General features: G+C 37.0%; 2 protein-coding genes across 14 annotated transcripts in view, besides 1 other annotated feature; both read right to left on the bottom strand.

Moving 5' to 3' along the window:
* Nucleotides 1-15997, bottom strand: part of GPHN (gephyrin) — a 1227209-nt gene that overhangs the window by 445059 nt on the left and 766153 nt on the right. The gene's annotated exons all lie outside the window — the stretch shown is intronic.
* The window catches only part of PALS1 (protein associated with LIN7 1, MAGUK p55 family member), a 94627-nt gene that overhangs the window by 45765 nt on the left and 32865 nt on the right, over nt 1-15997 (bottom strand). For 7 of the 13 annotated variants that reach the window (XM_047431691.1, XM_047431692.1, XM_011537086.3 and 4 more), the window contains one exon: nt 10760-11279. In XM_047431691.1, the coding sequence (XP_047287647.1) occupies nt 10760-11126 (367 nt within the window). In that variant the 5' untranslated portion in view covers nt 11127-11279. Of the gene's footprint in view, nt 1-7859; nt 11280-15997 lie in introns of all 13 variants that reach the window. The other 6 variants (XM_024449691.2, NM_001256550.2, XM_024449692.2 and 3 more) reach the window with 2 other exon arrangements.
* Nucleotides 12238-12438: a silencer, noted in NCBI's record as "peak2181 fragment used in MPRA reporter construct". NCBI's record gives its function as "represses an SCP1 promoter by STARR-seq MPRAs in K562 erythroleukemia cells {active_cell/tissue: K562}" and the evidence as "EXISTENCE:reporter gene assay evidence [ECO:0000049][PMID:32103011]".

The raw sequence follows: 15997 nt of genomic DNA, 5'->3' as shown, positions 1-15997 counted from the left end.
TATATTAATATGACAAGTACCTGATCTTTCTTTAAAAGTTTCTCGACTATTGTAAATTAGTTATGTCACTTTTTTCGTTACCTCCCATTCCCTCTTTCCTAGTCTTCCAAAAAGAAAAGTCCTATTGAGATTTTGACTAAAATTAAACCTGTAAATGAGTCTAGGAAAAACTTAGAGCACATACAAGGACTTATACAGTCAAAGACAGTATAAAAAAGACAGGGAGGCCAGGCACAGTGGCTCACGCCTGTAATCCCAGCACTTTGGGAGACCAAGGCGGGTGGATCATGAGGTCAGGAGATCGAGACCATCCTGGCGAACACGGTGAAACCCCGTCTCTACTAAAAATATTTAAAAAATTAGCCGGGCGTGGTGGTGGGTGCCTGTAGTCCCAGCTACTCGAGAGGCTGAGGCAGGAGAATGGCGTGAACCCAGGAGGCAGAGCTTGCAGTGAACCGAGATAGTGCCACTGCACTCCAGCTTGGGCGACAGAGAGACTCCGTCTCAAAAAAAAAAAAAAAAAAAAAGGACATGGAAAAAAATCTTCCCAATGTGCCTTTTTGTCAGCTCTCTTCTTATAAGGTCTGCAGAAACACCACTGACTCTTATTTATCTTGTATCCCACAATTTGAACAGCAGTTAAATTTTTAAATAGATTTTAACAGTTCTTTGGTTGATTCTTGAGGTTCGCTATCTTTCCCGCCCCAAATCAAAACAACTTTAGTCTTCCTTTCAAACATATATATATTTAGTCTTCCTTATTTTATATATATAGTTATCCCTCGGTATCAGTGGGAGATTGGTTCCAAGACCTCCCACAGACAGAAAAATTTGCAGATGCTCAAGTCCCTTATATAAAATGGTGGAGTATTTGCATATAAGGTATACACATCCTCCAGTTACCTAAAATCAGCTCTAGATTACTTATAATACTTAATACAATGTAAATAGCTGTTATATTGTATTGTTCAGAGAATAATGACAGGGAAAAGTCTTTTTTATAAAGACTTATAAGACTTAAAAGCCAGCCACGTGCGATGGTGGCTCATGCCTGTAATCCCAGCACTTTGGGAGGCTGAGGCAGGTGGATCACACGAAGTCAGGAGTTTGAGACCAGCCTGGCCAACATGGCAAAACTCCAGGTCTACAAAAAAATGCAAAAATTAACCAGTTATGGCGGTGTGCTCCTGTAGTCCCAGCTACTTGGGAGGCTGAGGCAGGAGAATCACTTGAACCTGGGTGGCGGAGGTTGCAGTGACCCAGTATCACGCCACTGCACTCTAGCCTAGATGACAGAGTGAGACCCTGTCTCAAAAAAAAAAAAAAAAAAAAGGAAATAAAGAAAATAAAACTTTTTCCTTGTCATTATTCTCTAAACATACATATATGTGCGTTCATCAGTAGTTTATAATGAAGAAAAATTTGGGAAAAAATTTAAAAGTCAAAACCGTCATTAGAATGACCTAAGAAGCTGTGGCCCAGAGCTAGATAAGAGCTGAGGGATAGCCAGAATCTAACCATAAGCTAATATTAAGAATAGATAGGAAGAATATAAAATGTCAGATTCCATCACATACAATGAGGTTACCAAAGAATTCCCTAAGAGATTAAATAATTCAACAGCCTTAAAGTGTCTTAAAAGCAAAATAGGATAACACTTAAATATCTTATAAGAAAAAGAAATTATAAAAGCAACAAAGCAGTTAAGCTTTGCATAAGCTACAATCTTATGGGGACTAGACTTCTCTGAGTAGACAATTAAATTACTGTTTAATTAAAACAATTTTCTTCGTAAAGATGGAGTCTATAACTCCTGGCGTCAAGAAATCTTCCTGCCTCGTCCACCCAAAGCGCTAGGATTACAGGTGTGAGCCATGCCTTGCAAGGTCTTTAGTAATTGTTAAAAGGGTCTCATGGCTGGGTGCGGTGGGTCATGCCTGTAATCCCAGCACTTTGGGAGGCTCAGGAGGGCAGATCACCTGAGGTCAGGAGTTCAAGACCAGTCTGGCCAACATGGTAAAATCCCGTCTCTACTGAAAATACAAAAAAATTAGCTGGGTGTGGTGGCACATGTCTAAAGTGCCAGCTACTTGGGAGGCTGAGGCAGGAGAATCGCTTGAACCTCGGAGGCGGAAGTTGCAGTGAGCGGAGATCGCACCACTGCACTCCAGCCTGGGCGACAGAGTGAGACTCTGTCTCGAAGGAAAAAAAAAGGGAGACCCCAGCCTGGCTGTTAGTGTGTTGTGAAAGACTGAGGGCCTCAGATTTCACCACTGACTGAAATCAACAAGCAGCCATAGACAGCCCAGAAGGTAATTGTATCCCTACTGGGTCTCTTCAACCTCAGGGGAATTTAAACTTTTTAAGGCCAAGGAGTTTCTGTATAATCTCTCCTATGTACCAAAGCCACTCAAAAGGACACTAAAATACTGACATTATTTTGAAAATTACCTGTACTTCTACCTTTCGGCTGTTAACTACTGGTATTATTTTGCTACGCCATGTAGCCTTTCAAACTTTTAAAATGCTGGTCTAACCGTATAGATGACACTGTAAATGTTGTTTTGCAACCTATTTTCCAATTCCTTAGAATAAATTTCTAGGATAAAATTATTAATCAGATAACAAAAGCATTTAACACTTTGACACATACTGCCAAAGCTGCCTTCTGGATTTGTACCAATTCATACCCCTACCAGCGTTGCACATGAATGTCTGTTCTCACAAACACAAATCAATTTAAGAATTATCAATCTTTTAATTTTTGGGATCTGGTATGATAGAACATATTTTTACAAGTTATAGCCATTTGAATTTCTTCTTTCATCCATTTTATCTTTTGCCCATTTTACTACTAGAGTGCTTTTTAATAAGTAGAATTTAACTGATATCCCTGTAGTCTTAACTAGAACATACTTAATATAATTTCATCCTTTTTTCTTATATCAGAACAATGGCTTTTAATCCAATATATTTATGGAAAAAAAAAACTAAGGAAATGTAAAAGACCTATTTTGCCACAGTTCTAATTTAATCATAACCAGAATCTCCAGTGTCTTTTTTTTTGTTTTTGTTTTTGAGATAGGGTTTCGCTCTGTCACCCTGGCTAGAGTTCGGTGGTGTGAACATGGCTCACTGCAGTCCTGAGCTCCCAGGCTCAAGTGATCCTTCCCACCTCAGCCTCCCCAGTAGCTGGGACTACAGGTGCATAACACCACACCCAACTAATTTTTTTGTATTTTTTGTAGAGACAAGATTTCACTGTCACCCAAGCTGGTCTTGAACTCCTGGACTCAAGTGATCCACCCACCTTGGCCTCCCAAAGTGCTGAGATTACAGGCGTGAGCCACCACGCGCAGCCATAAAGGGTACATTTTTAAAAGCACTTCACAAATACGTATTATTCAAGAACAGTTTTTTTCTTTTTTTTTTTTTTTTTTTGAGACCAGGTCTCACTCTGTCACCACGCTGGAGTGCAGTGGCGTAATCAGAGCTCACTGCAGCCTCAACTTCTCAGGTTCCAGCGATCCTCCCACCTAGCCTCCCAAGTAGCTAAGACCACAGTCGCATTCCACCACACCTGGCTATTTTTGTATTTTTTTTGGTAGAGATGGAGTTTCACCAGGTTGCCCAGGCTGATCTGCAACTCCTGAGCTCAAGCGATCCACCCACCTCGGCCTCCCAAAGTGCTAGGATTATAGGCATGAGCCACCACGCCCGGCTAAGAACAGTTAATTTTCCACACACTCAAAGAAATGTTCCATTCTTTGATGGATATATCTGTTACTTAAACAAAAATCCACCTAAGTTTTTCAACATTCTATACAATTCTGCAGGGAATTTAAAAAATCCATTCAGATGTAACTAAATCAGTCCTGTCAAATACACTCTTCCATAATAAAAGATGAAGACACAGAGACAACAAAGAGAAGACAGAGGACAGAGAGAAGAAATTCCCTTCCCCAATCCCATACAGACAGACAACAGACACAAGAAGGAACCACATGGACAGAGAAAGAGAGAAATGAAGAACCACAAGGCTAGTGAGAAAGACTGATATATGTGCTAGGTTGGGAGTGGACAAAAAAGTAAGTACTAAGGCGGGATGGAGGCACTCTGCCCAGGAGAAGGTAGAGGCAGGCATAGCAAATCTAGCTTTGGTAGTAAATTCAAGTCTGTAACAAATTTCCTACAAGGAATTTCTTTATATCTAGTTTAAATTATTTGCCCTGTAGGTGGAGCTATTTCCTCTTACCTGATTTTTCAGTAGAAATTAAGCTCCCATCTTCTCTAATATTTCACGCAACATTTAACTCTTGATTATTTAAAAGAGAGAATATATTATTCTAAAGTAAGAAAATTCACTTACATTTGGCTTTAGGATACAACTAATCAGATGAATACAAACATACACATGGGTCCACAAATCCACCCTCGTAAACTCTGTCCTCCCTCCTTGCCCTCTCCTGTCAGTCTAAAACGTAAAAGAATGGACTCTGAAACAGGCAACAGAAAGCAATCACCAAGAGTTACTTTATCAGAAAATCCTACTTTCCAATGCCTAGAACTCTGGGTAACCATGTGGAAGATTTTTTGGTTATAAGGGTAAACATTAAAATTACCTAAGGGGGTCAGGCGCAGTGGCTCACACCTGTAATCCCAGTACTTTGGGAGACCGAGGCGGCTGGATCAGGAGATCAGAGATCGAGACCATCCTGGCTAACACGGTGAAACCCCATCTCTACTAAAAACATACAAAAAAATTAGCCAGGGGTGGTGGTGGGCACCTGTAGTCTCAGCTACTCGGGAGGCTGAGGCAGGAGAATGGTGTGAACCTGGGAGGTGGAGCTTGCAGTGAGCCGAGATCGCGCCACTGCACTCCAGCCTGGGCGACAGAGCGAGACTCCGTCTCAAAAAAAAAAAAAAAAAATTTACCTAAGGAATCTCCATCTGGATTGGCATCATTTATTTTTATATATTACTCTCATTTACCCCATATGAAAACAGATAGCTTCTAGGGACCTATACCCAGCATTAAGCTTTTCCATTTCATTGTGTAAATAATTCCAACTCTTTTAACCTGTCCTCAGAAATTTCAAGTCCAACCAACTTCATGACTTTTTTCTGAAACTTTTAAGATTTCTTTTCCTCTAAACTGTAGGGTCAAATATGATACTCAGATGGGGAACTTAATATTACTAAGTAGGAGGAAATTACATCAGTTTCCAGTACATCTACCTGTGGAATTAAAATTGTGGTGGCTCATGCCTCTAATCCTAACACTTTGGAAGGCCACGGTGGGAGGATCACTTGAGGCCAGGAGGTCAAGACCAGCCTGGGCAACACAGTGAGATCCCGTCTCTACAAAAAAATAAAAATAAAAATAAAAATTTTTTAACCTAGACGAATGGAAAAACAAGATGTGGTATATTTGTACAGTGGAATATTAATTCATCCATAAAAAAGAAATGAAGTACTGATTCATGCTACAATATGGATGAACCCTGAAAACATAATGGTAAGTGAAAAGAGGCCAGTCACAAAAGAGCCTATGTTATGTAATTTCATTCATATAAAATGTCTAGAATAAGCAAATCCAAAAAGAAAGTATATTCGTGGTTGTCAAGGGCCAGGTGGTGGACAGAATAGGGAGTGACCATTAATGGGTACATATTTTGGAATTATATAGTAGTGATGATTGCACAACCTTTTTTTTTTTTTTTTTTTTTTTTTTTTTTTTTTTTTTTTTAGCACTGCAGCCTCGATCTCCTGGGCTCAAAGCTCAAAAAATCCTCCTGCCTCAGCCTCCCTAGTATGCTGGGACTACAGAAGCATACCACCATGCCCAGCTGTTTTTTTTTTTTTTTAAGAGATAGGGTCTATGTTGCCCAAGCTGGTCTCAAACTCCTGGGCTCAAGAGATCCTCCTGCCTTGGCCTCCAAAGGTGCTACTAATACGGGCGTGAACCACCACGCCTGCCTGCACAACCTTGTGAGTATACTAAAAACTAATGAATTCTACAGTTTAAAAGACAAAATTTTATGGTATGTGAATTATACCTTAATAAAGTTATTTTTAAAATGAAATAAGAAATTAGTGGTTAAGATCCACAAATTTTATGGACTACAGAGTTAGATGATCTCTCTGTAGCTTCTGGTTCTAACAAAAATTAAATTTCATTCAAACCTGTAGTGTGCCATTTACTCAAATGCTTTTTTCATTTGGTCCTCAAGAAAATCCTGAAACCGAGGCTCAGAAAAATTGAGTAACATGCCCAAAGTCAATAGCGCAATTTAGTGACATTAAAAAGTATTTAAACTCAGTTTTGACTCTATTATCCCTACTTTCCAATATGCAGCTACCGCATACATTTCTGAATGTGCCGTAAGACAACGAAGCAAATCTTCGCAGGCAGAAATAAGTTTTAAAACCTACTACTGCTTAATAAGTGGAATGAAGTTTCAACGTATTGTGTCAAAGACTGAATGATGTAGCAGTTACTTTTCTATAGAATTATGTGTATTTAATAAACAAAATTTACATTACTATACATATACTCTAATGAATTTTTACATCTTTAGGTCTAATTTTAGCAACCTGACTAAATCACAGAATTCTCAAATGATCCCAACACTTCAAACATTAAATCTAGTGACAACAGATTTAATTATTTCAATTCCAGGAAGATAAAAAAAAATTCCCTGAAGGAATGGCTAATAACATTTATTTGGAAATATCTGTAACAATAGCTAAACAAAAATTTGATAGTAAAAATAATCAACTTCTCAGAAGCAGGCTGAACTAAAACTCAAGATTTACTGGCATTGGGATTTTGTCTGTTGGCTTGAAATAAACTTTATCTTAAAGCCAACCTTTAAAAAAGTTTACAATCACACAAAATTCCAGTATGCCCCATGATCAATCAAAAGTCAGTTAAATGCCAGAATGAAATCTGAAAGAGCTATTTTACTTTAAAATGTCAATAATCTTTTGACTTAATAGTTTGAATATCCAGAGACATCTGACAAAAAATATGCAGACACTAATTAAGACTGAAACATGCTATTAATTCTATGAAAATATTTTGTTCTTTAGCTTTATTCATCCCGGTTTTCTTCCCCGTGGTGTGTTTTTCCTTCTTCACACTAATAGTATCTCATAGATTAGAAAGCCCCTAATCACAAATTCCAGGAGTCTTTTTATTAACCACTAAACAGCTCACCACAGATATATATGGGTGTGTATGTTCCCTTTCCTGACACTGCTTCAAAGACAACAATTTTATAGTCACATATATGATAGATGGCAGTCATCCCTAGTTTATTCAAGTATTCTATCTATATATTTCCTTGTCCACATCCCTGGCCCAAAATTACTTAACTGAGAACACAAAAACAGTGAAATCTATAATATAGAAATATATGAAAATTACCCTACTCTAGCTTAACCCACTCTAACCTGCATTATTTTCTTTTCCGAGGATTTCTCTCACAAGGTAGTTTGCTCTGATTATGAAAGAGAACAAAGACAATAATATTTGTAACAAAGCAAGCTTTAAAAACTAATGCCAATTTTAAGGAAAGCCTCCCTAATATCAAATTTTTTACCATTTATAATACTAATTATTCATTTGAAATCTAGTTCCCATATCACTATTTCTTATCTTTCAAAAAAATTCTAACTGCTTTTAAACAAGAAAATTCAGTTCATCCTTTCTGAGTATTTTCTATCAATTCCATCCCTGTACTTTTATTATCATACATTGTCAAATTTACAAATGCTTTTCATTAAAAACCACCCAATTACTTAATCTTGCCAATCATATTTTTGATTCTTAAAAGAATACTTTGTCTACTCACAGATAAATGATGATGTATTGTTTAGAAACTGAAGGCTTCCTCTCAGAGAAATAAATCAGTTGCCCATTCTTCCCTCATTTAAAATAAGGTTGCTGTTTCTAGATGTGAAAAAGGCTGAGAAGTTGTCTCCTGTCATATGGGTATTAATCAAATACTAGCCAGGAGACACACACAATGTTCAGGGAGTACTTCTCTTACAGTTTGATGTGTTAGCAGATTATGAACAAGAAAAAAAAGTTTGGCAAAAAGCTATTACACTTCACTTTAAACAAAAAGTTAAAAACCTGAGGCTATGACTGACAATAGCAAACTATACCTTATGCTAATTTCTCATGATTCTTACATAACAGATATCTGTGTTGACTATATCAACATAAAATATATCATTTATTTCTCAAAATACATCTTCTCCTATCCAAGAAATGAATTACAAATACCTGTTATGACATTTCAAATTACTTTAAAATAAAATACACAAAACTGCCTTAAATTCAAGGACCACACATAGGTACTTTTAAAAACCACAGCAGATTACACATTGGAATAGAGGTATCCTTTAATCTGAATTTGTAAAAAAGTCAGCAATAGAACATTCAAACAGAAACAGGAAAAAGCAAAAAAAAAAAATTAAGAGAAATGATGTCCAATTTTGTGTGCTTAGGCAAAACAAACAAAACCATAAACTCACAACTGTTCTCTTACTAAGTGAATCCGGCTGAAGCTATATTTGTTTCTTTACTGTGATTACATGAATATTACCTATCAGATGGATACTTACACCTGATTCTAAGTAAACCAAATGGACAAATACTTTAATCTTAAGGGAATGTAAACAGAAAAACAGAAGAATCAATCCAGGTTTGCACTGGATATAACAAACTTTCTCCAATAAAATATTTTCAGAATATTTTAATAAATAAATAAATAATAATAGAGTGGTGGGAAATGAAGGCTAGTAAGAAGCAATCAGGAATGAAGTATTTTTACTCTAATAAAACCCTCAGGAAAAAAGAGCATAAAATTCTTTCACATAAAGGTATTAAAAAAATGTAATCTTTTAGCTTTCACTGTAATTAAAATGTCTGAAGGCAGGAATTTAGCAGACTTCACTATGACTGAACACATATCTATGATTTCTTAAAACACAGAAAAGCATGTACATATGAAATGTGGATCCTGAATAAAAATTTATAACAAAGAAAAGAAGATGATGTGATGTAGTAGAAACTGCTCCAGACTTGAGACGGGCACAGTGGCTCACACCTGTAATCCCAGCACTTTGGAAGGTCAAGGAGGGCAGATCATGAGGTCAGGAGTTGAAGACCAGCCTGACCAACATGGTGAAACCCGGTCTCTACTAAAAATACAAAAATTAGCCAGGTGTGGTGGCACATGCCTGTAATCCCAGCCACTCGGGAGGCTAAGGCAGGAGAATCACTTGAACCTGGGAAGGCGGAGATTGCTGTGAGCCGAAGATTGCACCACTGCACTCCAGCCTGGGCAACAGAGCAAGACTCCACCTCAAAAAAAAAAAGAAAGAAAGAAAAGAAAGAAAAGGGAGGGAGGGAGGGAGGGAGGGAGGGAAGGAAGGAAGGAAGGAAGGAAGGAAGGAAGGAAGGAAGGAAGGAAGGAAGGAAGGAAGGAAACTGCTCCAGAGTTGGAATAAAGAGACTTAATGAGGAACAAATCTGGCATATACATGGTACCTTTGGCCAAATTAGAAAAAGGTGCTCTATTCTGGGTAGCCACAGCTCTGGCCTGGTGAGTGAAACGCAGGCTGGATACCGGTTTCCATTCAAACCATTTTGTGTAGTACATCAACACCTGATCTGGCAAATTCAAACTTGGCTCTACCATTGGTGTCTTTAAAAAGTTGTTTAACTAAGGTTCAATTTCTTTATCTCCAAAATGGAGATTACAGAGTACTGTTAACAGGATTATTTTATTACATGAAACAATGTTTGCTAAAACACTTAGTACAGGCTAAACAGACCCTTAAATGAATGGCAAAATGATGACAATGACAATAAAAACTTTCTCCTTCTACAAAAAAGTAGAAATATATCTTTTTTCACACCTAAAAAATAGCAAACCACCAAAAAATAAAATGCTCTCCTAACACTAGTTCAGTGAGCACTTGGGTGTATGTGCACGTGCAAGAAGGGCAGGCAGTAAATTCAATGATTAAATATTCTAAGTTTGGAAACATGCATTTGATATCAATCTCTCTTGTAGATTCACAATGCCTAGTAACATTCTAACAGCTATGAGAAGTCCCGTGATAAGAAGCTATTTAACTTATTTAGCCCAGAGTTCTCAAAATCCATTTGGTCACAGAATTCTTTTGGTTCGGTTGTATCTACTTATATCTCATAGGACTTTTTTTCCCCCCACAGAACAGAATTTGGGGATATAGAAAATACCATTATTTTAAGTTTATGATACCATATGAACAATACCAGTTCTTTTTATTGACAATCATTAATTTAAAAAAATCAAAGAATTTAAACTGTAGTTACAAATTTATTACTATTTTACAAAACTTTAAGGAAATCAGAAATTCAAAATCTGAAAATTCTTTTTTAGTATTTTGCATAAAGTTTGTGGTTTGATATAAAAGGTAAATTTCAAGGCTTTAAATGTTAGGGCCCATGCAGAACTCTTTAATATCTAAAAAAACATGTTATAGTGACTTAACATTTAAGCCACATGCTTTTAGCTCTATGTTGGTAACAGTAAACAATAGTTATACGGCGTTTCCACGAAAACAAAGGATCTTGGTCTGGAATTCAAACTGTCATTACTTACATTCTCTTAAACCCTCTTCCTTCTCATATACATTATAAGGCACAGATAAATTAAAGCAAAATGTTTTCTGTTATACCTCTATTTTTACTTACCTAATATTTTCACAGCATAATGAGGACTTTCTAAGACAATTCCTTCCTCTGTATCAAACATAGGGTTATCTATTCCGGTCTTTGGAGGAATTTGGGCTAGTTTCTTAAGTCTCATGGAAGAATTAAGGTCAAGTTCTTGCTTTTTCCCTTCTTCCTCTCTCCTACGCCTCATGTCCTCCTGTTGTTGCCGAATACGCTCCAACTGTGCACTTCGACGTATTGGCATCATCCTGGTGCCCAAATCTCCAGGGCAGTCAACAGCCATCTCTCGGTGCTTCTGATGTTCCTCTGGTGATGCAAGATCAACATTTTTTACTTCGCTGTCTGATTCCTCTGTAACATGCCCATTCATATGGGATGTTGTCATGGTTATCTATGAAAACCTGTACCACTTTTTATAAATCAATTTTTCCTATAAGCCAATTCTCTTGATTCTGTAGTATAAAATCCATGTTACTTCAAAAAAAAAAACTTCTCACATCACATAATAATGCTATGAAAAAGTATCCATGAAGGAAATCTAAGGGGAAAGATGGGGGGGAAAAAAGTGTAAGAATTACAATATAAAAGCAGGTTTTTACAGAGCCCACTTCTAATCACCATACAACGTAGAAAATAATAAGTATGTAATATTATTTTGTTAAGTAGATTAAGTACTTTCACTTTACAGATAATGGTGAGGAAATCAAGATTCCCCCCTCCCCCAAAAAGTCCCTTTCCAAAAATGTGAAACATACTATTCAATTTTAAAGCTAAGAAAAATGATATACAATACTGGAAAGTTTAGCAAAGTAGGAAAGTAAAAAGTTTGGGGTACTAGTTTGGTAGAGAACACGTTGCTTGCTTCAAACATAAAAGGTGTTTTAATCATCTTTTAGTAGTTGTCTCAACACTGTACTTTATGCTCAACAATTAACATGGGATTGAAATAACTTACTGCTAAAGAATAACTGCTAAAGAAATTGATGAATGATCAACTGATTTGGCATATAGCAGCCTTGTTTGTACCTCACTTGAAATACAAGCAGTATTCTGGGGGATAATTCATCTTTAAGAGTTTTTGAGATGGAGAACATGCCCAACGAATAAGAAACTTCAATTAGCAGCTGAGGCAGCTACAGGACAAAACTACATTGAGACAAGGATTACATGGGTTATCAGTCTTTATAACTGGTCCCATTAAAAAAAAAAAAAAAGAATTGGGCCGGGTGCAGTGGCTCACGCCTGTAATCCCAGCACTTTGGGAGGCCAAGGAAGGCAGATCACCTGAGGTCGGGAGTTCGAGACCTGGCCAACATGGCAAAACCCCGTCTCTACTAAGAAAAATACAAAAACTAGCCAGGTGTGGTGGTGGGTGTCTGTAACCCCAGCTACTCAGAAGGCTGAGGCAGGAGAATCGCTTGAACCTGAGAGGCAGAGGCCGCAGTGAGCTGAGATCACACCACTGCACTCCAGCCTGGGTGACAGAGCGAGACTCCATCTCAAAAAAAAAAAAAAAAGAATTGGGGTTAACTCTACAAGAATTACAAGGATTCATTTAGAGAAAACGGTTGTATCTGTTACCACTCAAAAACTTTTGAGAGTCATACTGTACAGCAAAAAGATCACAGTAAACAGGGAGATAAGAAAACTGAACTTTTAATCCTCTAGTTTTATGACTTAAGACCAGTCATTTTCTCTCTTTGACCCTCAGATTCACTTGGAAGCTTTATTCATAGGATTGACAGTTCTGAGTTTCACATGAGTTAATGTATACTTACATTAATTACCAGTATTAACTTGATTCTATTTTAAAAATCTTTCAACATATTTTAGAAAATAAAAATATTTTACCAGATAACTCTGGCTTTTCATCAAGCTATTTCTCAGGCATACATAGGCAGGTTGTTTACATATGTGTAAACCCACACATTAAATCTAATTAGCCTTTTTTTTTTCACTCAAGAGCAATAATATTTACAGTAATAAACCTACTACCTCCTTGAGTTGGGCATCACTTTAGTAAACAAGTTGGTTAGAGCACAATGCCAACTAAGCAAAAGCCAGGTTTTCAGATAATATTCCTAATACCAGCCAATCTTTTCTCAAACATCTTGGGTCATAATGCAAACAGGGACAGAAGACAAAATGCTTAATACAAACCCAACTAGGCTATCAGGAAAACCACTAGTCCAACAATCAGGAAAATGGATGCCAGTTACAAGAGCTATTATTAAAACTACATTTGCTTAAAATTTTTGGTAGATTTTTCTGTCTTTCATCCAAATTTTGACTTCTTTCTAACTGTGATCTACACGTAAGCACCTTATTTACCATTAGACTGCCTTCGTTTTCATTAACATGACAGCTATTTGATTTTTGTTAGGCAATTCTTAAGTTATGTTAGGCATTGATTATATGCAAATGCAAATTCAGCTTTTTAAATGTTTTCATTACAAGTAAGCAGAAAAATTATGTAGGAGTTACTACAGTGCTATGCTTAGTTTTAAAAATCCAGGAGTGGATTTAGTATTTTCAGAAAATTAAAACTCTTAACCCTCTCTATAACAATTACTGGATATTAAAAATCAAATTTAATATTAAATGATGTGTTTTTAACTAATATAAATTATGATCTGAAATTTGAAACTCAGCTTAAAAGCTCTACATCTGTGTCCATATTCACTACACTATGAGGGAAAATTAGAAGTCATGCAAGAGAGACCGGGCCAGGTCATCCAGGTCAAAATTCTCATGCTTGTACTATTTACTATCATACTTGTATATCTGGATCCAACCTTTGCTCTCAGAAAAATTTCTATAACCTGGTAGTAATCTGCTTTAAATTTCATTTTGGTTATCTCCCCAGGAATGTTCAGTCTACTGGGAGAGAAAGCAAAGAAAATAAATGATTATTTTTCCTCAATCTCCTTAACAGGTTCTAAATTTGTTAGAGACAGGGGTCATGTCTTACTTTTATAGCTCCAGTGCTTAGCCTAATACATATCATAAGAAATGTCCAATAAATATCTGTTCAACTCAACTTGGAATGTCACAATGAACTATAAAACTTGGTCTGTGGTAAAAGGTGATAGGAAACACTCAAAACATAAGGATACATTTCTTTGAAATGGATTTCAAAGGGCAACTAAAAATTAGCCAGATAGTAGAAAGGTCTATTCCAGGCAGACAGGCTCACATGACCAATAGGAAGGAAGAGTATGACAGAATGGCACTTTCAGAAAACAGAATAGAATACAATAAAGCTGGATGGGACAATGGGAACATGCTGTACATGAATAATGATAAAACTGGAAAGACAAGCAGGAAGCCACACTGAGAAGAGTTTTAGATCTTTACCCTGAAAATAGTAAGAATAATTAAAACATTTTAAGCAGAGGATGACATGATCACATTCATTTTTATACAAATATCACTCCTATTGGATAGAGACACAAAAAACCCTTCAAAAAATCAATGAATCCAGGAGCTGATTTTTTGAAAAGATCAACAAAATTGATAGACTACTAGCAAGACTAATGAAGAAAAGAGAGAAGAATCAAATACATGCAATAAAAAATGATAAAGGGGGTATCACCACCAACCCCACAGAAATACAAACTACCATCAGAGAACACTGTAAACACCTCTACGCAAATAAAGTAGAAAATCTAGAAGAAATGGATAAATTCCTGGACACATATACCCTCCCAAGACTAAACCAGGAAGAAGTCGAATCCCTGAATACACCAATAATAGCTCTGAAATTGAGGCAATAATTAATAGCCTACCAACCAAAAAAAGTCCAGGACCAAATGGATTCGCAGCCAAATTCTACGAGAGGTACAAAGAGGAGCTGGTACCATTCCTTCTGAAACTATTGCAATCAATAGAAAAAGAGGCAATCCTCCCTAACTCATTTTATGAGGCCAGCATCATCCTGATACCAAAGCCGGGCAGAGACACAACAAAAAAAAGAGAATTTTAGACCAAAAGCCCTGATGAATGTCGATGCGAAAATCTTCAATAAAATACTGGCAAACCAAATCCAGCAGCACATCGAAAAGCTTATGCACCACAATCAAATGGGCTTCATCCCTGGGATGCAAGGCTGGTTCAACATACGCAAATCAATAAACGTAATCCAGCATATAAACAAAACCAAAGACAAAAACCACATGATTATCTCAATAGATGCAGAAAAGGCCTTTGACAAAATTCAATAGCCCTTCATGCTAAAAACTCTCAATAAACTAGGTATTGATGGAATGTATCTCAAAATAATAAGAGCTATTTATGACAAACCCACAGCCAATATCATACTGAATGGGCAAAAACTGGAAGCATTCTCTTTCAAAACTGCCACAAGACAGGAATGCCCTCTCTCACCACTCCTATTCAACACAGTGTTGGAAGTTTTGGCCAAGGCAATCGGGCAGGAGAAAGAAATAAAGGGTATTCAATTAGGAAAAGAGGAAGTCAAATTGTCCCTGTTTGCAGATGACATGATTGTCTATTTAGAAAACCCCACTGTCTCAGCCCAAAATCTCAAGCTGATAAGCAACTTCAGCAAAGTCTCAGGATACAAAATCAATGTGCAAAAATCACAAGCATTCTTATACACCAATAACAGACAAATAGAGAGCCAAATCATGAGTGAACTCCCATTCACAATTGCTACAAAGAGAATAAAATACCTAGGAATCCAACTTACAAGGGATGTGAAGGACCTCTTCAAGGAGAACTAGAAACCACTGGTCAACCAAGTAAAAGAGGACACAAACAAATGGAAGAACATTCCATGCTCATGGATGGGAAGAATCAATATCGTGAAAATGGCCATACTGCCCAAGGTAATTTATAGATTCAATGCCATCCCCATCAAGCTACCAATGACTTTCTTCACAGAATTGGAAAAAACTACTTTAAAGTTCATATGGAACCAAAAAAGAGCCCGCATTGCCAAGACAACCCTAAGCCAAAAGAATAAAGCTGAAGGCATCACCCTATCCAACTTCAAACTATACTACAAGGTTACAGTAACCAAAACAGCATGCTACTGGTACCAAAACAGAGATATAGACCAATGGAACAGAACAGAGCCCTCAGAAATAGTACCACACATCTACAATCATCTGATCTTTGACAAACCTGACAAAAACAAAAATGGGGAAAGGATGCCCTATTTAATAAATGGTGCTGGGAAAACTGGCTAGGCATATGTAGAAAGCTGAAACTGGATCCCTTCCTTACACCTTA

This window comes from Homo sapiens, chromosome 14 (assembly GCF_000001405.40).
Source record: "Homo sapiens chromosome 14, GRCh38.p14 Primary Assembly".
In the NCBI taxonomy this organism is placed as follows: domain Eukaryota; kingdom Metazoa; phylum Chordata; class Mammalia; order Primates; family Hominidae; genus Homo; species Homo sapiens.
This window is presented reverse-complemented; position numbering and strand designations above follow the sequence as displayed.